This window comes from Homo sapiens, chromosome 4, assembly GCF_000001405.40.
Source record: "Homo sapiens chromosome 4, GRCh38.p14 Primary Assembly".
Lineage (NCBI taxonomy): Eukaryota > Metazoa > Chordata > Mammalia > Primates > Hominidae > Homo > Homo sapiens.
In genome coordinates, this window is record NC_000004.12 from 98,330,501 (window position 1) to 98,354,138 (window position 23,638).

The 23,638-nt window shown below is 35.8% G+C and overlaps 1 protein-coding gene across 11 annotated transcripts in view; it reads left to right on the forward strand.

Annotated features, from left to right (window-relative positions):
- The window catches only part of RAP1GDS1 (Rap1 GTPase-GDP dissociation stimulator 1), a 182,475-nt gene that overhangs the window by 69,117 nt on the left and 89,720 nt on the right, over nt 1-23,638 (forward strand). For 10 of the 11 annotated variants that reach the window (NM_001100426.2, NM_021159.5, NM_001100428.2 and 7 more), the window contains 2 exons: nt 12,639-12,761; nt 21,976-22,101. In NM_001100426.2, coding sequence (NP_001093896.1) covers nt 12,639-12,761; nt 21,976-22,101 — 249 coding nt within the window. Of the gene's footprint in view, nt 1-12,638; nt 12,820-21,975; nt 22,102-23,638 lie in introns of those variants that run through there. The other variant, XM_024454168.2, reaches the window with a different exon arrangement.

Here is a 23,638-nt window from a genome sequence, read left to right on the forward strand (position 1 = left end):
CAGACGGGGTGGTGGCCGGGTAAAGGCGCTCCTCACCTCCCAGACGGGGCGGCCGGACAGAGGCGCTCCTCACATCCCAGACGGGGCGGCCGGGCAGAGGCGCTCCCCACATCCCAGACGATGGGCGGCCGGGCAGAGACGCTCCTCACTTCCTAGACGGGATGACGGCCGGGAAGAGGCGCTCCTCACTTCCCAGACTGGGTGGCTGGGCAGAGGGGCTCCTCACATCCCAGACGATGGGCGGCCAGGCAGAGACACTCCTCACTTCCTAGATGGGGTGGTGGCTGGGAAGAAGCGCTCCTCACTTCCCAGACTGGGTGGCCGGGCAGAGGGGCTCCTCACATCCCAGACGATGGGCGGCCAGGCAGAGATGCTCCTCACTTCCTAGATGGGCTGGCAGCTGGGCAGAGGCTGCAATCTCAGCACTTTGGGAAGCCAAGGCAGGCGGCTGGGAGGTGGAGGTTGTAGCGAGCCGAGATCACGCCACTGCACTCCAGCCTGGGCAACATTGAGCACTGAGTGAGCGAGACTCCGTCTGCAATCCCAGCACCTCGGGAGGCCAAGGCGGGCAGATACTCGAGGTCAGGAGCTGGAGACCAGCCCCGCCAACAGGGCAAAACCCCGTCTCCACCAAAAAATACAAAAACCAGTCAGGCGTGGCGGCATGTGCCTGCAATCCCAGGCACTCGGCAGGCTGAGGCAGGAGAATCAGGCAGGGAGGTTGCAGTGAGCCGAGATCACGGCAGTACAGTCCAGCCTCGGCAACAGAGGGAGACCATGGAAAGCGGGAGACGGAGACGAAGGAGAGGGGGAGACCGTGGAAAGCGGGAGACAGAGACCACGGAGAGGGAGAGGGAGAGAGAGAGGGAGAGGGAGAGAGAGAGGGAGAGGGAGAAGGTAAATACTTTTATAAAAATTCAAAACAGTAACTGTGGATGTCAGAGACTTAAGAGTGGCTATGGTTAAAAATCCAATGGAAGTTTATTATCAACAATTGACAAGAAAATTTAGTTATATTTGTGGCATATGACATATTATCTAGAATTCTGACTGATTACATTAGATTTCTGCATTTTATATAATTTTGGAACATTCATTATCTGTAACATACACATACATGTAACTGAAAGATCTAGTATCACCTACCATTTGACAATGTTTCTTATTCAATTTATCCAATAACCCTAATCACTTAATATCTCTACAAGATGAGAGATACATTCTTTGATGCTCTCTAGGAGCCCAGTGGGGAAATCCCAAAGTTAATTCTAGGTCAAAAAATCTTAATTTAGAATTTTGAGCTTGGGAAAGCCTGCCAAAGATGTCAAAAGGTTCAAAACACTTGAACAAAACAGTAGCACAGGTCACTGTGAAATCAGTCTTTTTTATTATTATTATTTATTTTAACCAGAGTAATAATCAAAAGACTTCAAAAGCAATACAGAAAGTTACATGGATTTTAAAAATCTTAACCCTTACAAAGCTCAGTTTCCCCAACCAATCAAAAATCTAATAAAGACCACATGAAGTTATCTTGATAAAATGCAAAGTCTTTGTTTCTTTGGCCAGTTACCAAAAAGGTAAAGAGAATTTTTCTGCAGTGTAATTGCTTCTTCTTATGGTAAACCCATTTAGATAGCCTGGAAGTTGAACCTGATGAAAAAGGTACTTCAGGTTAATCAGACAAAGGAGAAGTGTGTCTAAGGTTATGACTCTACACCTTATTATAGAGGAATGTAAACAATAAAATTAGTACCTTGAGCAGGGGAACACGTGGATCTTAGCAGCAGCCTGAGAAATTTCCTGGTTACATGGAATAATTGAGATACATCAGGACAAGACAAGAGTGCAGAATCAAGTTTTACTAGGAAACATTGCTTTTCTAGTCCTTCAAGACAGAACATTTCAGTTTCAGGTCACAAAAACAGAGTTAGAACTGGAGAAAAAAGGAACTGATGAAAAAGTTAAAAAGAGAGAGTCCCAGTTATTGTCCCAGCTAAACAAAAAGATGTATTTTTCAAGAGGAGAAAGGAGGAGAGCAGAAGGCAATGATGCATGACCTGCAAATCATGTGCAGTGAGACACAGCAGAATTTAAACTTCTGAGCTATGAATATGAGAAGCTTTAAGAGGAAAACTATACCTCAAGAAATGAAATTACCATTCTAAATGAAAAAGACAGCATTTCCAACTTGAAACTAGGGAAATTAGATGGAATCTGTTAGAAGATGGCTAAGAGATTTTAGAATTAAAAATCAAAATCTCAGTACTTCCAAGAAAACCTTGTTCTAACACAGGGGACCAAATTTTTAGTTTTGTATCAGTGTATTTTTAGTATCAAAGCTCAATCTTTAGAAAGACTTGTAAATAATTCCCTTCTAATTATAGCCAACTTGATCACACACAATTTCTTTCCTAAATTCATCTTTCTCAAACCTTTCGTGAGCTGCATAGACCTTTGACAACATGCTTAGACTTTTTGTTTTGTCCTATATGTCCTCTTTCTTAAATAACGCACCATCTTTAGGTTGAAAATTTACCACAAGATTCTTTCTCATACAAAATTATTCTCTTTTTCTTTTTAACCTTTCTTACCAAAAATACAATTTCATACCTGTAATTTTTTTAATATCTCTCTTTCCTACTTATTTTACTTATTGGTTCCTTTTCTTATTTCCTTCTTAAATCATATTTTGAAACAACCTTTAACCTCTGAATTAGACAAAATGATTATCTCAATAGCGAATACATTTTTATGCTTTCATCGAAAACACATTTTTGTGTACTTTGTTTACAAAATTATATATATTAGAATTTTAATTCTTAGTAACAATTTTTAGTGAAAACATAGGAAGCAAGAAATTTTGAACTGTTCATTGTATATCAGTACTTTTATAGATGAGAATCATTTTGTAATTTCAGAAAATGTTTCCCCATAATTTTTATGTTAAAAATAGACCCAAACATATTTAGGCTTTTTATAAAATTTAAGAAGCTAAGAGCAAACTTACAATTATGTTCAGCAATTTATGTTTTAATGTTTTTTAAGAATCTTAATTGGAAAGACCCAGACATTTAATGAATATCTATTACTTAATTTAACATAACAGTGGGAATTTAGATTGCCTGAAAAGTTCATGGGTAAACATTTATCCTGCCTACATTTACCTGGTTTATCTTTAACAATTATACCTAGATTACTTATGAAAGTTGAGATACTGGGTAAAACTAGTCATCATTTCAAGTTATTTTTCTTTTAACCATTTATATAGACTGAATATCAGGCATTCACCTAAGTAAGAAACTAAAATATATTGGTATTTTGCCAATAACTCAGAACACACAGCTGTTTTTATTAAACTAAACAGTGTTACATTAGTCTTACCAAAGAATTATACCAACAAAGATTATTCTGTTTTAGGTTGGGTTTATAGTGTTATGGCCTTAAAACATCTAGCAGAGACAAATATAATCCTGTCTGACCAGTAAACTTAGGCAAAAATGTATGCTGATAATTTTGAATACATTTTTATTAAGTTTTAAAACCAGCTTATTTATCAAAGTTTTTTTAAGTCACGTGAACTAAAAGACATTTGGCTTAATTACTATGTATTTCATGTAAGCGCTCATTTATTTAAGCCAATCTGAATAGAATTCCTTAAGGGATTTCTGGCCAAGTACATCAGATTTTACTATGTAGACATAACATACAACATAAAATATGTGCATGTGCATAAACACACCTAAGCATATATACATACACACAAAAATTTTGGGGTAAAACTGTTTCTATAGCAGTTTAAAAAAACAAAAAAAACCTCTTTTACCCTTCCCCCACCTTTGACTCAGTTTCACATGAGTTTAGGGTTAAATATTCAATGTTTACATTTTTAGCTAGGACTGGCTGAATTGTATGAGAAAAACAAAATTTCTAAGTGGCATTGAATTTTCGGTAACAAGTCTATCTTTTGTTTGCCAGTCTGATTTGCTTGACTAGTCAGCGTAGCAGGGAAATCGTTTAGTGTGTTTTTGGTTTTTTGTTTTTCACCCCCGCATGGCAGAAAAAGGAATTTTTATGCTAGACAGAGATACTTTATATTGTTTCTTTGAGCTCAAGACTTTCAAGTGTTTGATCTGAGATCCTAACTTTTGTGAGCACTATATAGTTCTTTTTCTTTTAGACTATGAATCCTTCAGTTAACTGTTTCTTTACCCTAAGCAATTGTTAGTCAGGCAAACCTAAATTTACATTTCCAAAAGATACTTAAGTCGTTAGTTGTCATCGAGCTGTTATACTTTGTAAAGCTATTAATTTGAAAGTCCTTTAATACTTTTTTTTTTTTAATCTTGGCTGGAATTCCATAAGCAGTGAGTTTTATATCAACACCAGTAGGAAAATCAGCAGAATCAAAGTAAGCAAAAAAAAAAAAAAAAAGAGATGGGGAAGGTAGAAGGCTTTACATGTCAGCTTAATATTTGCAGGTTTTTTGTTTTTTTAAAAAGAGAGTTTGAATAATGACTGTTTGAGCTCTGGATTTTCCTCGATATACTTGGTCCATCAGTTAAAAAATGAGAATAGGCCATAAGATGTAGCCTGCTGAAGTCCCCTAGAACCTGACATGCCTTAATGTTTGAGAATTCCATTCCTTTTCTTATTAATCTCTCAAAAGTACGGAAAATCCCATAAATTCTGTCAGGGTATGTCAGGACTGTTGTTTTAGGTGCTGGTGACTGTCCTACTGGCTTTTAATTAATCATTCTGTGTCCATCAGGCTACAAGGATCAATAATAAGAGTGAGGCCAGTCTCAGGTTGGTCATGCAGTTGCTGGGCAGATGTCCTCACTGAGGTTGTAAGTTTGTGATGGTCTTTGTGGTTTTTGCAGTCTTCTGTGATAGTTTTTGTTATCAGGGATTTATGCATGAGAACACTCTCTTCATGACCTTTTCTGGCTCTATTAGGGTTGTTTGTTTGTTTGTTTTTAAACACAGGTGACTCCATTTTGATTTGGACAACTTTCAAATTGTATAGAATGTGGAAAATATGAAAAAGTTTTTTTTTTATTTTACAAGTTTGAATTATTTCACATAAATGTAGCTTCTTTTTAAAAAAACTTATCTTTGAATGTTTATCATATTAAATATTCTTTTAAAATGATATTATTAATGACTATATAATGTTCTTTTAGAATGCTAGACCGTAGTGATAGTTGTCTTTTAAGATGATACTGTGAGCCACTTCACTCTTTCCTTTGGCCAAGATTAATGTTGATTTTAAGTGACTTCTTACCTTTTTTTTTTTTTTAACTTTTCTGTGTACCTTTCTGTTGTTTTATTTTCCTGGGAAAGTGGAGTAAATTTTATATCATACTTGTATAAAGTAGTATTTCCTTAAATAGATTCCTTGGATTACTCATTTTCTTAGATGCCCTATTAAGAAGTGACTTACTTGATAAACAGTGTATACTCCTATTGGCTCACAGTAAACATTAGCAAATTGACGACTTCAAAAAATCTTGCAGATGCTAAATCTCTTTATCTTTATTTACTTCATATTTTCCCCCAGGGTATCTGACAATAGAATGGAGATAGATCTTTTGCTGAAAATATTTTTTCACTATGTTTTATTGTGTCCTCATTCTCTTAGTCTGCAGTAAGAAATCTGTATTTCTTATAGGTAAATATTCATATCTTCAGTAATTCAACTTCTTGGTGAACAATCTAGTTATATACTCTGCTTATACCACAGTCATTAACACATTTCCTCATGGTGTTTACATTCTCAATAAATATATCTTATTTTTTAACCATGTAACTCTTAAATTTTTTAGCAACTGCTTTATGACCTACTTAGTGGTAATTTTAAAGAAAATAGTCAAACTAGCAGATCTCCCTGCTTATTCTAGTGATGATTTCCACACACATAACTTCTCCCACTCCCACATCCTACATTATCCCTGGAATTGAAATGAGTACAAGACTATCAAAATCATTTACTGTAATTTTATAAAATGAGTCTCACAACTTAGTTTTTTAGTGAGATCTGTTTCTGATGGTGAATCACGGTATAAATGGGTTTTTGTTCTGCTATCTTTCTTTTCATGACTTCATATATCCTTTTTTTAAACTCTTGCATTTCATGTTCCTTTTGTTTATTTAAGATCCTCAATCAGTTTTCTTCACTAGGGGAAGAAAGTGAAAGAATTCACTTTCTTGTCGTCAGTGAAAGAATTGCCATTTTTTTTTATTCCCATCCCTGCCACCTCCACTGCAAACACTTTCATTTTCTTTTAGAAACATTAATTTCTCATTTTTCTGGCCCTTACATTAAGCTACTTATATTCAGCATATTTCTCTTCTGTGTTTTCATTCTGGGTTTTTTTTGTTTTGTTTTGTTTTGTTTTTGTTTTTTCTTGAGGCAGAGTCTCGCTTTGTTGCCCAGGCTAGAGTGCAGTGGCATGATCTCAGCTCACTGCAAACTCTGCCTCCCAGGTTCAAGCGATTCTTATGCCTCAGCCTCCCGAGTAGCTGGGATTACAGGCATCCACCACCATGCCCAGCTAATTTTTGTATTTTTAGTAGAGATGAGGTTTCACCATGTTGGCCAGGCTTGCCTCCAACTCCTGGCCTCAACTGATCCGCCCACCTTGGCCTCCCAAAGTGCTGAGATTACAGGTGTGAGCCACTGCACCCGTCCTTCAGTCTGTTTCAGCCTGCTTCATTCTTTGTATATGCAGTTGCTTTTCTCTCATTTAATCACTGCCTCAGTTTAGCTATCCCAAAATACTATACATCTCTTTCTCACTCAGTTGTCTTACTTTAGTTCTTACTCTTGTAAAATGTGTTAAATAACAATATTTTTCACATAATGATTTGGCAAATCAGGTCAAAATATAGTCATCAACATATAACTTCTAAATGACAGTTGTAGTAGGAAGAGCTTTGGAGAAGAAATCACAAAAGCTGGTTTCTTATTCCTTTTCCAGTGTAATCTTATTATATGGCCTTATTTGTAATATGAAGAACATGACCTATCATCCCTATCTCAGATGACTTTTTAAATGAAGAGATTAATGTGTTTGAAAGAGCTTTGAAATTTTTACAAATGCTCTTAATAAAAAATTAAGACACAGTGTTTATGGAAGTCAGATAACATTAAAAAGATTGAATAGCTTTCAGTCAGGTACCTTTTAATGAGGACAGTGTGAGTCTAATGAGTAGGAATTAGCTAAAATGGTAGGGTGAGGGGGGTGGCATTTCAGAGAGGGAACATCATGTGCAGAAAGGAGTTATGAAATAAGATGATTAGTATGGATTACTATAAGTAATTTAGTATGGCTAGAGTGTAGGATGTCCATGGAGGAGTATCAAGAGATAGGATTAGGAAATATGGATGTGCTTGAATGTTTAATGAAAAGATGTGGAGGATTGCTTAAAAATTTAAAGGAATGACATAAACTTTGCATTTTCAGAAGTTTATTCTTATACTATTGTAGATGAAAGATGCGGACAGGGCAGGGGAGGCAAACCGGAGTTAGGGAGACTTGAGGAGGCTATTGCATTTAACAAGGGTCTGAACTGAGAACTTGAAGTAATATGAATGTAGAAAGGAAAAAGATAGATGCAAAAGACAATAGTGAAATGGAATCTATGGGACCTATGTTCTGATTAAATGTGGGGGTAGGAAGCTATTTACTAAAAGAGAAAATTTTATAATTATTCTAGGGCTTCTGGCTTAAATGGGTTTCCTACCATTCACTGAGTTAGAGACCAAAATGAATTTAAAGGAAAGAGGGTAAATTTGATTTTGATTTTGTTAAATTTGAGGTATTTAGCATATACCCAAGTGCAAATGCTTTGTTTTCTGTTGCATAAAAGGAGAGAGGATTGGGGACTTGTCTCTTTGGTAATTGAAGCCTTGGGTTTAGATCAGATCACCCAAAGCAGCATAGGGCTAAGTCTCTTTGTTACACCCTATTTTTAAAATCTACCCCTTGAGAAATATACAATTCCCCAGAAACCTTGATATCCATGGCCCCCCTTTGATTCATATTTGTGGTCCTTAATCCCAAGTCTGAGCCTTCAGTGAAAACCTGTCTTCTCACAATCTGCCGTAAGGATCCCTAGGCCACTATTTTACCACTTTTTTATTGTTCTCATAACTCTAAGTAAAACTTAAAATGTTTTTTATTACTCTAAAGCTATATTACCAATCTAATCCAAATACACTTTTAACCTAATAGAGTCTTAGTAATAGCAGTCATTATTTTTATTTTTTTAACTTGGAGTTTACTATAAATTGGTCAATTGCTTTTCATTAGTTTATCCTCATGAAACCTATATGATAATATAACATCATAAATTCAGTTTATTGTAGTAGCATACCTGGAAATTCCCTCTTGGTATTTAACTGTAAAGGCAATTATTTTAATATGTTTACTTGGCAGCTTTGTTTGGAACTTGAGCCTTTCTCAAGCTATAACCTTAAATTATGAGTTCCCTCCCATTCTCCTTACTCCCTCCTTTGTAATACTTTGTATTGACCTTGACGATTTGTGTGAGTTGTGCTTTAAACTCTGCTCATATGACATTATAGGCTGGCTTCTTGATTTACTCTTATTCCAAGTTTCTCTGGCCTGATTGCCCAATTTTCCTTTTCTTTCCTATATCTGGCAGTGTCATAACTAAGCTGCCTCCTTGCTACCAGGAGGTCAGGTGGAGTGAGGACATAGGGCTTCAGGGACAGAATGAGTGCTGGAAGAACTTCAGGGGCTATTGTGATGGATATGACTCCTGCCTCAGCTCACACAGATACTATTTTAAAGTAGCAATTGCCCGTCTTATATGGGTCCTCAAAATTCAAAAACTGCCAGTTGCCTATAATTTGTAGGCATTCTCAAACATTTTTGTCACTGCACCTAGATGTGAAGGAGGAGAAAGATGTTGAATTGATTCCTGCAAACATTAAAAAGGAGTGTAGTTAAAATGTCAATAGTAGTCTGGCTACAGATAGTGAAGAGTCTACCTTTTTTTTTTAAACAAGACTTCTGATCACAGTGCATCGTTTTTGATTTTTTTTTTTAACAAGTAGCCATTCATTTGGACATGGAATCATCAACCCCTGACTACTCCTTAGTGCCATTTTAAAATTGTTTCAAGGGTTTTCACAGATATCTGAGAACATCCTCAGTTCACAGGTCAATATACATTTTGAGATACAGTGTAATGCCAGTGCAAAAAGTATATATGAAATGAAGTTAAAACTTTGTAGTTTATACAAGCTGGAATAGCTATTATTAAAAAGTCAAAAAATAACAGGTGGTGGTGAGGTTGCAGAGAAAAGGGAATGCTTATACAATGCTGGTGGGAATGTAAATAGTTCAGCCATTGTGGAAATTAGCTTGGCCATTTTACAAAGAACTTAAAATAGAACTACCATTCTACCCAACAGTTGTATTATTGGGCATGTACCCAAAGGAATAGAAATCATTCTACAAGTTGGAATAGCTGTTATTAAAAAGTCAAAAAATAAAAGATGGTGGTGAGGTTGCAGAGAAAAGGGAATGCTTATACACTGCTGGTGGGAATGTAAATAGTTCAGCCATTGTGGAAATTAGCTTGGCCATTTTACAAAGAACTTAAAACAGAACTACCATTCTACCCAACAATTGTATTATTGGTCATGTACCCAAAGGAATAGAAATCATTCTACGATAAAGACACACACATCGCAGCACTATTCACAGTAACAAAGACATGGAATCAACTTAAGCCCATCGATGGTATACTGGATAAAGAAAATGTGGTATATATACACCATGGAATACTACATAGTCATAAAATGAGTGAGATTATGTCCTTTGCAGCAACATGGATGAAGCTGTAGGTCATTATCCTAAGCAAACTAACACAGAAACAAAAATCAAAGACCACACATTCTCACTTAAGTGGGAGCTGCCAGGCATGGTGGCTCACACCTGTAATCCCAGCACTTGGGGAAGCACTTAAGGTAGATCACTTGAGGCAGATCACTTGAGGCCAGTAGTTCAAGACCAGCCTGGCCAACATAGCAAAACCCCATCTCTACTAAAAAATACAAAAATTAGCTAGGCATTGGGGTGCACACCTGTAATCTCAGCTGCTTGGGAGGCTGAGGCATGAGAATCACTTGAACCCAAGAGGCAGAGTTTGCAGTGAGCTGAGATCACACCACTTCACTCCAGCCTAGTTGAAAGAGCAAGACTCCGTCTCAAAAAAGAAAAAATATATATTCACATATATGTATATATGTAAATATATATATAAAAAGTGGGAGCTAAACATTGAGTACATATGGATACAATGAAGGGAACAGCAGACACTGGGACCTACTTGAGGAGGGAGGGTGGGAGGAAGATGAGTATTGAAAAACTACCTATCGGGTACTATGCTTATTACCTAAGTGACTAAATAATCTTTACACCAAACCCCCATGACATGCAATTTACCTATATAAGAAACCTACCCATGTACCCTAAACCTAAAATAAAAGTTTAAAAAATAAAAAAATACACTTTGTAGTTATTTATTGGACAGTGGTGTTTGAGTGATAAAGTACAAATTTGTTCTTTACTTTTTTATGTCACAGAAAAATGGTAGTTCCCAGACGTTTACATTCTAAACCTATATAGAAATCTACATGCTAGCAGGTAAAAATAATTCCTGTTAGATTTTTCTAAATCGTAAATCAGATTTATGTGAAAAACCAGGTTATGTTTTTCCCTTTTATTTCTTTGACAATAGCAGTGAAAATACTATTTTCAAATTCTGGATTCCTGTTTAGTACAGCTATTCTCCCAGTTCACTGGATTTAATCTGTGGAAAGTGTCATTGGAGTGCAAGAGTTAGCATTGTTTTGTTTTGTTTTCCCCTTGCCCCTGACATTCCACTATGATATTAAGCCACTCTTTTAGTTACAGTTAAATGAGACATGCATGGGTGATTTGCAGTTAACTGCTCGCCTCCACACATAACAAATGCTTCGGCTTCATATCTAATCATGATTCATGCCTTATGCCAGACTCTTGCTGTCATCCCAGTACCAGCAGATGGTGGGGCTAGACCCCTGGGGCAGTATGACCCAGTGTTCTAAGGTTATATTTCTTCTGGTAGCAATGGTCAGAAAAGGAAAGATTTTAACATGGCAAATTAAGTTTAGTTCTTTATGGCTTTTTGCTTAAAAAAAAAAAAATCTTAGGTGTCACATTTTCACGTGGTTCCTTAAAAACTTACTTTTTAGTCCAGTAAAATAAACTGGAGTGTTATCATTCCTTAACTCCAAATCCTGGTAGTCAAGGGGTACAAGGAGCAGTGGTTTTTCACTTTCCTCAAACCCATGATTGGAAATACATTTTACATACAGTACATATATACTTACAGGCACATATGCATATGCATATACATAATTCAAACCAAAATTTCAATCATAATGTTTGACCTTACCATGTGCAATATTTTTCTCTTCTTTTTTGTTGTAGATGTTGTTAATTCTTTTATTTTAACCAGTTTCTAGTCTTCATTCCCCAAGTAGATTTTAGCGCTCATAATGGATTGGGACCCACAGTTTGAAAAACTGTATTAAACAATCAGCACTTATTATAAAGAAATATGTTACGTACTTTTTTGTGGACTTTCTCAAATTATAAAAAATGATTTTCCTCCTCTTTACTGATCACATCAGCTGCCATTTAGTTAACAAGAAATTTTTAGGGTTCTCTATTATTTGTATGTATATCCAAGAATCTAAAGGACATAGAGGAGCTACATATAGAAACAAATTTCAATTGAATGTTTTAATGAGCCTTATAACCTCTAGCTTTAAACACATGCCATTTCTCTTCATTGTTCACAAATAATAATTTTATTTCTTTGAGCTTTTCTTTATTTTTAACATATTTTAATAGGTCATTCTTTCAGTAACATACATGAAGTAGCTTGTTTTTATAGGCCCATTATTTGTATTTTAACAAGGAAAGGAAAGAAGTGGGGGCCTCTTGAATTTCTGTATCACCAAATAGAGTTCAGAATACTATGGGTTTTTGCAGTGTACTATTTCTCTTCTTCATTAATGGTGATGTGAATGAGTTGCATGAAAAACATAGGAGTCATAGGAACCATGTAATCCCTTGACTATCACTTTTCATTCCGTATAAAATGATAGGAGGTGAGTTTTTTGCCTAATTGCCATTTTTTAAAGTTGCTATGGCATTATAGGGAACCATAGAGTTTATATAAAGTGATAGCTCTTAGAATTCAGAAGAGATGTAGAAAAAAAGCATTTATATTCTGAATAGACAGGGTTAGAACTAACATTGAGAGTAAGTTTGGTATGCAAATGATATATTCAGAAAGAACTTCTTTATAGTCTGACTGTAAATAAACAAAATATTATATTATCAAGTGTTTTGTGCCGATTAAAACTCAAAATAAAAGCAGCTTGTGGAGCAGAAGGTAATTTTGTATAAAGACATATATTTGAATGTATACCGAAACTAATTTCTATTATGGGTGGGAAAAATTCTTGAAGAATTTATTGTAGATAATGGTTGTCAGTGTTAGCATTAAAGATTTTCACTGAAGCTCTTTGTATGTATCTCTTTTAGATACGGAAACAAGTGAAAAAATCCAAGCAAGTGGAATACTTCAGCTGTTTGCAAGTCTGTTGACTCCACAGTCTTCCTGCAAAGCCAAAGTAGCTAACATCATAGCAGAAGTAGCCAAAAATGGTGAGGTTTACCTCAAGAACTTTTCTGCTGGGAACGTCTTCAGTTTTACATCTTACTTGTCAGTATGCTTTATTAATTTATGTTTTAATTTTGTAGATTAGACATTTTTTATTTCTATTTATCTTTTGTTTGACTCTTCATGTAATTGTTTTAAATGGCTATAGTTACAGTCATTCATACCTGTCCCATCTGATAACCCATTCCTTCTCAGTAGAATTATGGGAAAGCTCTGCTGCCCTCAGCTATACCTGTGTTATTTATTACTTTGGGTATAAGATTCTTGAACTTGCCACTGAGTCATTCATCTTTATTGCCATAAGAGATAATATATTTTTAAATATTTATGTTTGTTTGTGTTATACCCACATAAACTCACTGTTCTTTTTTAGTTTGGCCTATTGTTCCGACATTGGCACTTCAACAGTATAGTTGGAATATACGTTCTATTTTCTACACTCACCATATATTTCTTAAGTTTCCATGTAAGAATACTCTGGAAAAACAATAATGACAACAAAGTTTAGATTGTGTACTATTTATACACTGAGAGATTCTTTGGATGAATTATATCATAGCATAAATATTTGCATGTGGTTTTAATTCAGTCCGTTTGAGAAAAACACTGAATTCCTAAAGCAATGTTTAAGCATATAAGAAGGCCGTACTATATATAATACCTTTAGTTTGCCTCAGTTTGTCAGTTTTACATTATTTTTTAGCCTTTTATTGTAGTATGTTTCATATATTATTCTTTAAAGTGAAGGAATTTGCGTAATCATCATGGCAGGTGGCTTTGTAAAGTACCAGTATATGTTGGTTTGGGCTGGTAAAACAATGTATTTTTAGATGTGTTGCCAAAAAGAAAATTGTTTGAAGCTGTGTCATTTGTGTAGAGGTTCTCAAAATGCATTTCAAGTTCCAGTTAGATTCTATATTGGTATATGATTTTTTGGTGGTTGTTAGAAAATTGGCCACTTATCACTCTTATATGTCACATCTAAGAAGCAGATCTAGTTTGAAAATGAATTCTTTCCAGACATTGCTTGTTAACCTGGACCAACCCCTATCTGAATTTTCTTAGATACCCAGCATCTTGGTTTTTAAGAACAAGTCTTTTATTTTTAACTTTGTTAGAGTCATAGTATAGATTTCCAGAAATCAAGGTAGAGACTCCACAATTTTTATCTTAAAATCTTTTTTCTTAAGCATTCTTATAGTATAAAATCTGAAATTTTGGATAACAGATTTTTGTGAAATGGATTGCCATTCCTATATTCTCTTACTTAATAATATTCCTCATAATGCTCTGTCACAATTTCATGACAACTCTGCTTTGAAGAGTTTCTTACAGTAATACTCTAGTAGATGACAGCTATGTTCGAAAGACATAATAGAATTTTTAATGTTTATACTTTTAATCAGAGGCTGATAAAGGGCATATCACTAACCTCCACTGGTTAAAATAAATAGGATACATTGGTATGGTGTTTATTACTCCATGACCACATTACTTTTTTAAGTGATTGGCTGAGAAAGTGGACCAGAGTCTTGTTGAGTGTTTTTGTTTGTTTGTTTGTTTTTGAGACAGGGTCTTACTGTGTCGCCCAGGCTGAAGTGTAGTGGCAGGATCACGGTTCACTGCAGCCTTGACCTCCCAGGGTCAAGCAATCCTCCTATCTCAGCCTCCTGAGTAGCTGGACCATAGGCATGTGCCACCATGCCTGGCTAATTTTTAAATTATTATTATTTTTTGTAAAGACAAGGTCTCCCTATGTTGCCCAGGCTTGTCTCGAACTCCTGGATTCAAGGGATCCTCCCGCCTTGGCCTCACAAAGGGCTGGGATTACAGGCATGAGCCACTGATTCTGGCCTTTGAGTGTTCTTTTCAAAAGAAATACGTAACTTCAGAAATGCAACCTGACACAACATAGTACACTGATTGGGCATATATTTCTTTTTAGAAATTGACGATGAAAAAGATTGTATGAACCAGAGAATATGAGGTTGGAAGTTAATTTGTTCATCTTTACTCTGCTGTGCACAGAGGAGAAATATTAGCATATACTTCTTCCATTCAAATAAACCCCAAATAGGTTTTTGTACGCACAAAAAGAATCTTTAAAAATTAACACACCTTTGTGCTGACATTCAAAATTTAGAGGATTTGTAAGAAGTTCCGTGGGCGAGTTTAATGTGGGAGGGTAGCTTTGACCATAAATTATAGTAAAAGATTTTTTAGACCTTTTAAATGTATTATTCCCTTATATAATAGACTTAAGACTGATATGAGGCAAAGGACAAATAAGATATGACATATCTGTGAATATTTCAGAATTGGGCTCTCAAAGTATTTAATAATAATAGTAATACTTCTTAATGCCAGCTATGATTTTGTGCTAACATAATTTAAGTGTTGTGTACATTATTTCAATCCCATATGAGATAGAGTTATTTTATACAGATAAGAAAACATAGAGGCTAAATATCTTACCTGTCATCACACTTAAGTGATGATAGTTGGATTTTATGCACTAGTTTGTTTCTCTCCTTTCATTTCTTTTCAGTAAATGAGAATTTATGATGGCAGTGGAATGTGTAGAGGTGGTCTGAGTACAGCGGTAGCAGCATGTAACCTGAAAGATTGGGCTGGTAACTGATGTGAAAATGTATAAAAACCAGCAAAAGTTGAACTGCTTTATGTCTGTTCCTCTAAAGTAGTTCCCTGCCTTTGACCTGTAGCAGCAACAGACTCACCCGGGAACTTGTTACATGCAAATTCTTGGATCCACTCACCCAGACTTACTGAATCAGGGACTCAAGAGTGGGCCCAACCATCTGTTTTAACAAGTCCTCTAGGTAATGCTGATGAGTATAAAGCTTGAGAACCACGTTTCAGTATAAAGCAGTACAGAATCAGTACTTTTGATTAACATTATGCTTTTTTTGTTCTTCTGTGTACTTTATCATATTGCAAAGTGTTTATCAAAACTTCCGCCTGAGTGCTCTTAACAACAAAAGAGTGAAAATGTACACCCAAGAGGACCTGGTGAGAGCATTAACCAGAAATACAGAAGTCTCCTGTTCTGTTTTATTTATTTTAATTTTGCCCTCTATTCCATAACAGGTACATGTAGTACATGTTTATTTTAGTATAAAATGCATGTGTGCCCTAGAAAAATCATTGAATAAAGTTGAGACTCCAGAAAAATGCACTATATTGTCAGGTAGCTTAAAGTATACCTCGAGACCTCAGTGTTGGAAGCTTAACCTCCGTCATTTTGTAAGAATGATTATTTATTTTTTTTTTTTTTGAGAGGGAGTCGCCCAGGCTGGAGTGCAATGGTGCGATCTCAGCTCACTGCAAGCTCCACCTCCCGGGTTCAAGCAATTCTCCTGCCTCAGCCCCCTGAGTAGGTGGAATTACAGGCACGTACCACCACACCCGGCTAATTTTTTGTATCTTTAGTAGAGACGGGGTTTCACCATGTTAGCCAGGCTGGTCTCGAACTCCTGACCTCGTGATCTGCCCACCTTGGTCTCCCAAAGTGCTGGGATTACAGGCGTGAGCCACTGCGCCCGGCCAGTACTTTCTTTAAAAACAAGGGCAGTACAAAGAGTGAGTGAAAAATATAAATGTCAGTTTGACAACCCACATATAAAAGTCACTCATTCTTTTATATTCATGCCTCATAGTTTTCCTTGTTTTTCAAAAGAAAAATATAAAAAGCTAAGAGTTAATACAGGGAAGTTATTAGAGAAAATTCAAACATGAATATGTTATGATTTAGTCTAATAAACACTGAGGTGGACTCTACTACTCAGTGTTTTTATTTGGCTTGAAAATTTTGGTTTAAAAGAGAGTTTTAATAAAATAGTTTCTTCAGGTAGGTAAAAGTGGAGAAAGTAGATGTTAGGTTTTTTAATATTTGAGGATATGTGAGGGGGATATAAATCTTGGTGTATATAAAAAGAAAATAATTTTCATCACAGCCTGTACTTTATGATGCTGCTGAAAGAATATGTAATTCAAGTAGGTTTGAGAAAGTAAAAGAAAGAAAGTAAAGCGTTAACACTCTAAATTTACAAAAGAATAAAAAATAATCGACAATTATTTAATGAATGTATTACTACAGTCAAAGGGAAAAACATTAGTCTTAGGTGGAAATCAACTTTTTATTTTTATTGATATTGAAATAGAGCAGTACCTATTCCTTAAACCTCTGTATTGAATTTCTACATTAACCTATACATGTTTTGCAAAGAAAAAAAAGTGAATTCTATGTTGTGTAGGCAAATACACATATACAGAAACACTTAATGGCTCCTGCTTTCTACAGCATAATGGCATCCACTAACGTTGATTTCTATTCACTGTCATTCTGCATGTATCTTGGTTTCAGCCTCTTTCCCTTGCAGTACTGCCCCTTTCCCCGAACCAAAATTTTCAGTTCTCCGAGTTCAAATTGCCTAGAGAGAGAATCTGATTTTTTGCCTGTTTCTTTTTAAGTTCATCGCCATTGTTCTTTTTAGGAAATCCTTCAAAGTAGACCATCTTTTAGGCTATTGAGTCAGAATCCAGCCAGCTGTGAAAGATAGCAGGTGTGAATGTAGAGGTATAGGTAGTAGGAACCCCTTTGAAGAAGGACGACTGTCAGCCATTCTGAAGCCTCTCCAACATAATATGTATAACATTTTAAACATATTCTTTTTTATTATTATTATTCTTTAAGTTCTAGGGTACATGTGCACAACGTGCAGGTTTGTTACATATGTACACATGTGCCATGTTGGTGTGCTGCACCCATTAACTCGTCATTTACATTAGGTATATCTCCTAATGCTATCCCTCCCCCGTACCCCCACCCCACAACAGGCCCCGGTGTGTGATGTTCCCCTTCCTATGTCCTAGTGTTCTCATTATTCAATTCCCACCTGTGAGTGAGAACATGTGGTGTTTGTTTTTTTGTCCCTGTGATAGTTTGCTGAGAATGATGGTTTCCACCTTCATCCATGTCCCTACAAAGGACATGAACTCATTCGTTTTTTATGGCTGCATAATATTCCATGGTGTATATGTGCCACATTTTCTTAATCCAGTCTATCATTGATGGGCATTTGGGTTGGTTCCAAGTTTTTGCTATTATGAATAGTGCCACAGTAAACATACGTGTGCATGTGTCTTTATAGCAGCATGATTTATAATCCTTTGGGTATATACCCAGTAATGGGATTGCTGGGTCAAATGGTATTTCTAGTTCTAGATCCTTGAGGAATCGCCACACTGTCTTCCACAATGGTTGAACCAGTTTACAGTCCCACCAACAGTGTAAAAGTGTTCCTATTTCTCCACAGCCAATCCAGCACCTGTTGTTTCCTGACTTTTTAATGATCACTGTTCTAACTGGTGTGAGATTGTATCTCATTGTGGTTTTGATTTGCATTTATCTGATGGCCAGTGATGATGAGCATTTTTTCATGTGTCTGTTGGCTGCATAAATGTTTTCTTTGGAGAAGTGTCTGTTCATATCCTTCGCTCAGTTTTTGATGGGGTTGTTTGTTTTTTTCTTGTAAATTTGTTTGAGTTCTTTGTGGATTCTGGATATTAGCCGTTTGTCAGATGAGTAGATTGCAGAAATTTTCTCCCATTCTGTACGTTGCCTGTTCACTCTGATGGTAGTTTCTTTTGCAATGCAGAAGCTCTTTAGTTTAATTAGATCCCATTTGTCAATTTTGGTTTTTGTTACCATTGCTTTTGGTGTTTTAGACATGAAGTCCTTGCCCATGCCTATGTCCTGAATGGTATTGCCTAGGTTTTCTTCTAGGGTTTTTATGGTTTTAGGTCTAACATTTAAGTCTTTAATCCATCTTGAATGAATTTTTGTATAAGGTGTAAGGAAGGGATCCAGTTTCAGCTTTCTACATATGGCTAACCAGTTTTCCCAGCACCATTTGTTAAATAGGGAATCCTTTCCTATTTCTTGTTTTTGTCAGGTTTGTCAAAGATCAGATGGTTGTAAATGTGTGGTATTATTTCTGAGGCCTCTGTTCTGTTCCATTGGTCTAGCTCTCTGTTTTGGTACCAGTACCATGCTGTTTTGGTTACTGTAGCCTTGTAGTATAGTTTGAAGTCAGGTAGTGTGATGCCTCCAGCTTTGTTCTTTTGGCTTAGGATTGACTTGGCAATGTGGGCTCTTTTTTGGTTCCATATGAACTTTAAGGTAGTTTTTTCCAATTCTGTGAAGGAAGTCATTGGTAGCTTGATGGGGATGGCATTGAATCTATAAATTACTTTGGGCAGTATGGCCATTTTCACGATACTGATTCGTCCTATCCACGAGCATAGAATGTTCTTCCATTTGTTTGTGTCCTCTTTTATTTCGTTGAGCAGTGGTTTGTAATTCTCCTTGAAGAGGTCATTCACATCCCTTGTAAGTTGGATTCCTAGGTATTTTATTCTCTTTGAAGCAATTGTGAATGGGAGTTCACTCATGATTTGGCTCTCTGTTTGTCTGTTATTGGTGTATAAGAATGCTTATGATTTTTGCACATTTTAAACAGATTCTTAAACATCCCTGTTTTTTTTTTTAATATATCTGCCTGAAGCATGATAACTTTATGTCTTTAAAATTAGCTAGCGAGGACTACCACTCTTTGTTTAAAAAAGTAAATTAGCTGAAAAGCAAATGAGTTTTAGAAGAAATTCTTTTTTACTTTATCCAGAGACTGACAGTGACTGAAAGCTGAGGAATATATTAGCTTTGTTTTATCTTTATATGTTTTTGAGTAAAAAATGGTTCCAAAGAGTTTTGATTCCACAATTTTTCTGTAATTATTTACCCTCTATTATTCCAAGAATACTTGAAGCTATTGATTGTAGAGTCCAAATTTTGAAAGATTGGTATCATATAGGCAAAACATAAAAGAAACACAGTAATTCTTCAATGTTGCCATTGCCTGAATAGCAATAACAAAACAAGCAAAATAATAAGATAAACAAGTTTTATTTATGAATGAGTACAAATCAGACCGTTCCTAAATTTCTTGTTTTAGTAGTCAATGAAATCATCTTACTGTTGGGAACCAGGCATAGTTCAGTGAAAAGGATAATGAACATCTGTGTTTAATATGAGTTAGTAGCATGTTAATTTAAGATTTGAAATCTAGTCCAGGCCTGGTGGTTCTCACCTATAATCCTAGCATTTTGGGAGGCCACAATGGGAGGATCACTTGAGCCTAGAAGTTCGACACCAGCCAGGGCAGCATAGTGAAACTCTGTCTATAAAAAAATAAAAAATTGGCCGGGCGTGGTGGCTCACGGCTGTAATCTCAGCACTTTGGGAGGCCAAGGCAGGTGGATCACGAGGTCAGGAGTTCAAGACCAGCGTGGCCAACATAGTGAATCCCCATCTCTACTAAAAATACAAAAATTAGCTGGCTGTGGTGGCACTTGCCTGTAGTCCCAGCTACTCGGGAGGCTGAGGCAGAAGAATCATTTGAACCCAGGGGGCAGAGGTTGCAGTGAGCCGAGACTGTGCCATTGCACTCCAGCCTGGGTGACAAAGCAAGGCTCCGTCTCAAAAATAAATACATAAATAAAATTATCTAGGCCTGGTGGTACACACCTGTAGCTCCAGCTATGCAGGAGGCTGAGGTCAGGGAGGATCCCTTAAGCTCAGGAGTTCGAGGCTACAGTGAGCCATTATCATGCCATTACATTCCAGTCTGGGTGATAGGGTGACACCTTGTCTCAAGAAGAAAAAGATTTGAAATCTATGAAGGGTCTAAAGTAACCATTAACTAAAGAGGTAGATAAGCAGATTGATGTGTCATCTCCTATAGATGGTCATTGAATTCATGAACATGTACAGCATAATTCATTTTCTTAACATGAGTAGTAGGATACTTAGTACTACTGAGTTTGATAACGTCAATGATAAGCTCAAAGGTTAGTTGTTGAGATAGGAAATAATCTGAGTCTTAGAAGTTTACATTACAGGGGATTTTTAGTGGTAGAGTAATAAGTAAGAAAGAGATGATAGGAATTAATTCATTTATTTCGGGACAGAGGAATACCTCTGTGATTTACAGCTATCTTAGGAGGAAAAGAAGTTGTCTCAGAGGTGACAGCTGACAGAATAACCTATATGGTATGCTCTAAGAATTTGAAAATGAAGGGAAAGAGAGGGAGGATTGCTCATGAGGGTACCTGTGGAACAAACCAAGGGGTAGACCATCTTGATAGAGTGAAAAGATAGTGATTTTTTTAGTAGGACAGGTTATAGATGGATAAATTAGTTCTTTGTTAACTAACTTTATTGACCAGAACATCCTTATGGTGAGTTGTGATGTCCAAAAAGGTAATTCAGTTATTGGTTATTGGAGAAATTTCATCAGTTACATACTTCCTTATGTTTTGTAGTGGTCCATCATGAGACACTGAAAAAAAAAAAAAGTTTATGTCCAATCATGACTGTGGTGGTATCATGGTGAGTTAATACATAAAGAATGGCATACCATAAAAATAAGGAAAAAATGGGTTTGAAATTTAAGAAATCTTAAGATTTGACTCTTTAGACCTGTAAATGTATGGGTATAGCAGCAGATATGAGTGAGCCATAAAATGGATTTTAATAAAGGACAGGAGTGAAGATAAGAAGAGGATGATTCCACCACATCTTACCAATCAAAAAGGACATATTATTTTTTAATGGTTCACTGAAACCTTTATACATATGTATATACTTATATTTATATATATATTTATATTTATAGGCTTTTTTAGAAAACAAAGTGAAAAATTAGGCAATATGATGGCTTAGTTTATAACTGTAGTACTTTAATTATCAGGCTTATAGAAATACATCGCCATTGTTTCCATCATCACACATATTGCTTCCAAAGCATATCGTTATTACGAGAAGATAGTGATAAATTAGTTGTGATGTAAGTTAATTAAAATCCCTTTGGTTTATGGTAGAGACTGTCAGCAAACAAAAATATGACCCCACTCAGTTTTGTGTATTTTATGAAGCTTTTAGTAGGGCTGTAACAGGGTACTTTTGTACAGAAATGTACTCTTCAAATATTCAGCCACCTTTTCAAGGTGGCTTTTAAATACCACATATTAAAAGTAGGTATTTATTTTATTAGGGGAGATGATTTATGTAAATTGTGAATCGTTAGATTTTTAATTAAACATGTCTCTTATTTTCAGAGTTTATGCGAATTCCATGTGTGGATGCTGGATTGATTTCACCACTGGTGCAGCTGCTAAATAGCAAAGACCAGGAAGTGCTGCTTCAAACGGGCAGGGCTCTAGGAAACATATGTTACGATAGCCGTAAGTGTTGACATCTCAATAATACACATACATTTTTAAGAATTATGATATTCAGACTAATCTGCTTTTGTGTTAGCAGTGACTTTTCTAGGCTAAAACACTAACATGGGCCGGCATGATTCAGCACTGCTTATTTAGCAGAATTTATGGAGATTCAGGTCGTTGTATTCTTATCAAAGAAATCATAGGAAATGAAATGTTTTCCTCTGTTATCACAAATGATATTTTCAGAGGAAATTAAGTCAGTTTCTAAGAAATTGGGGCTGTAAGTTTAGAAAAAATACATATGTGCATCTTCTCAATTAGGTTTCATTGAAATATTATCTCTGAATGGGAATGCTTATGGACACAGTTTTTTAAAGTTTCTGCGTCTGTCCAAATACATTTTTAATTATTTGCAGTTCGGTAAAACCAATCATAAAAACCATTCTCTTCTCAAAAGCTAGATTGGCCCATTACATTTGCATTGACTCCATTCCTGTTTGTCATTATATCATTGTCATCCTCACCACATTCTATAATATACTGTTCTACTAGGCAAAAAGAAAGCAAGAACTGGGGTATGGGTATATTGTAACAGCGTTAACAATTTCTACTTCCCCTTTCTACATATAAACAAAATACAGAAAAGAATTTTAAGTATATTTAGCTTAACTAGGCTTATTCTGATTTTCCTTAGAGTTTTATTTGCTGAGCCAAAACACGTATTTTATCATTCACCTGTAATGCCTCCTAGGAATTTAGTTTTATTTCTATAACTAGGATAACTTTTAGTGCTTATTTTCCCCATTGAGTGTTTAACTCGGATGAGTTATATTTTGTTATAACACAAAAGATATGGCCCTTTTATAATAGGCAGTCCTTCAAAAAGTGATTTATGCATATAAGCCAGAAAGAAAGGACATAAATATATTCATTTATGATAAAGAAGTAGGAAAAAAGATTGAAACTATAGTTATAACTCATATATAGCAGTAGTCGTAAAGCTAGCCTCATTTATTCTCCTTTTCTTACTTTTTCTGAAATAGGAGCTACAATAGCCATAAGTATTGAAATGTCAGTAATGAATCTGAGGACATAGATGTCTTAATATGAATTTTAACTTCAGTTTTCAGTCCCCAGTATAGCCTGTAAATCTGCTTATCTGCTCCTTCAATCCAGTTCTTTTTATCATAGGGTATTAGCTTTATTTACAAAATTCTGTTGCTTTATGTTTATAATTTTGTGTTTTCATATTTAGGATTTTTATTAAGCACCATAGTTTATAATATCAACTTTCAAGACTGAATCATTTATTATATATTTATATGATTAATTTTAGCAACATATATTAGACCTCAGCTGAGTAATAGTCAAAAGATTAGTGGCATGTACTTGGAGAGTACTGATTATTACTGTTTTTATTCTTACTTTTCTGTGTTTGTTACTGGAATTTAAGGGTACCAAAAGTATTCTTTTTTTTTTTTTTTTTTGAGACGGAGTCTCGCTCTGTCGCCCAGGCCGGACTGCGGACTGCAGTGGCGCAATCTCGGCTCAC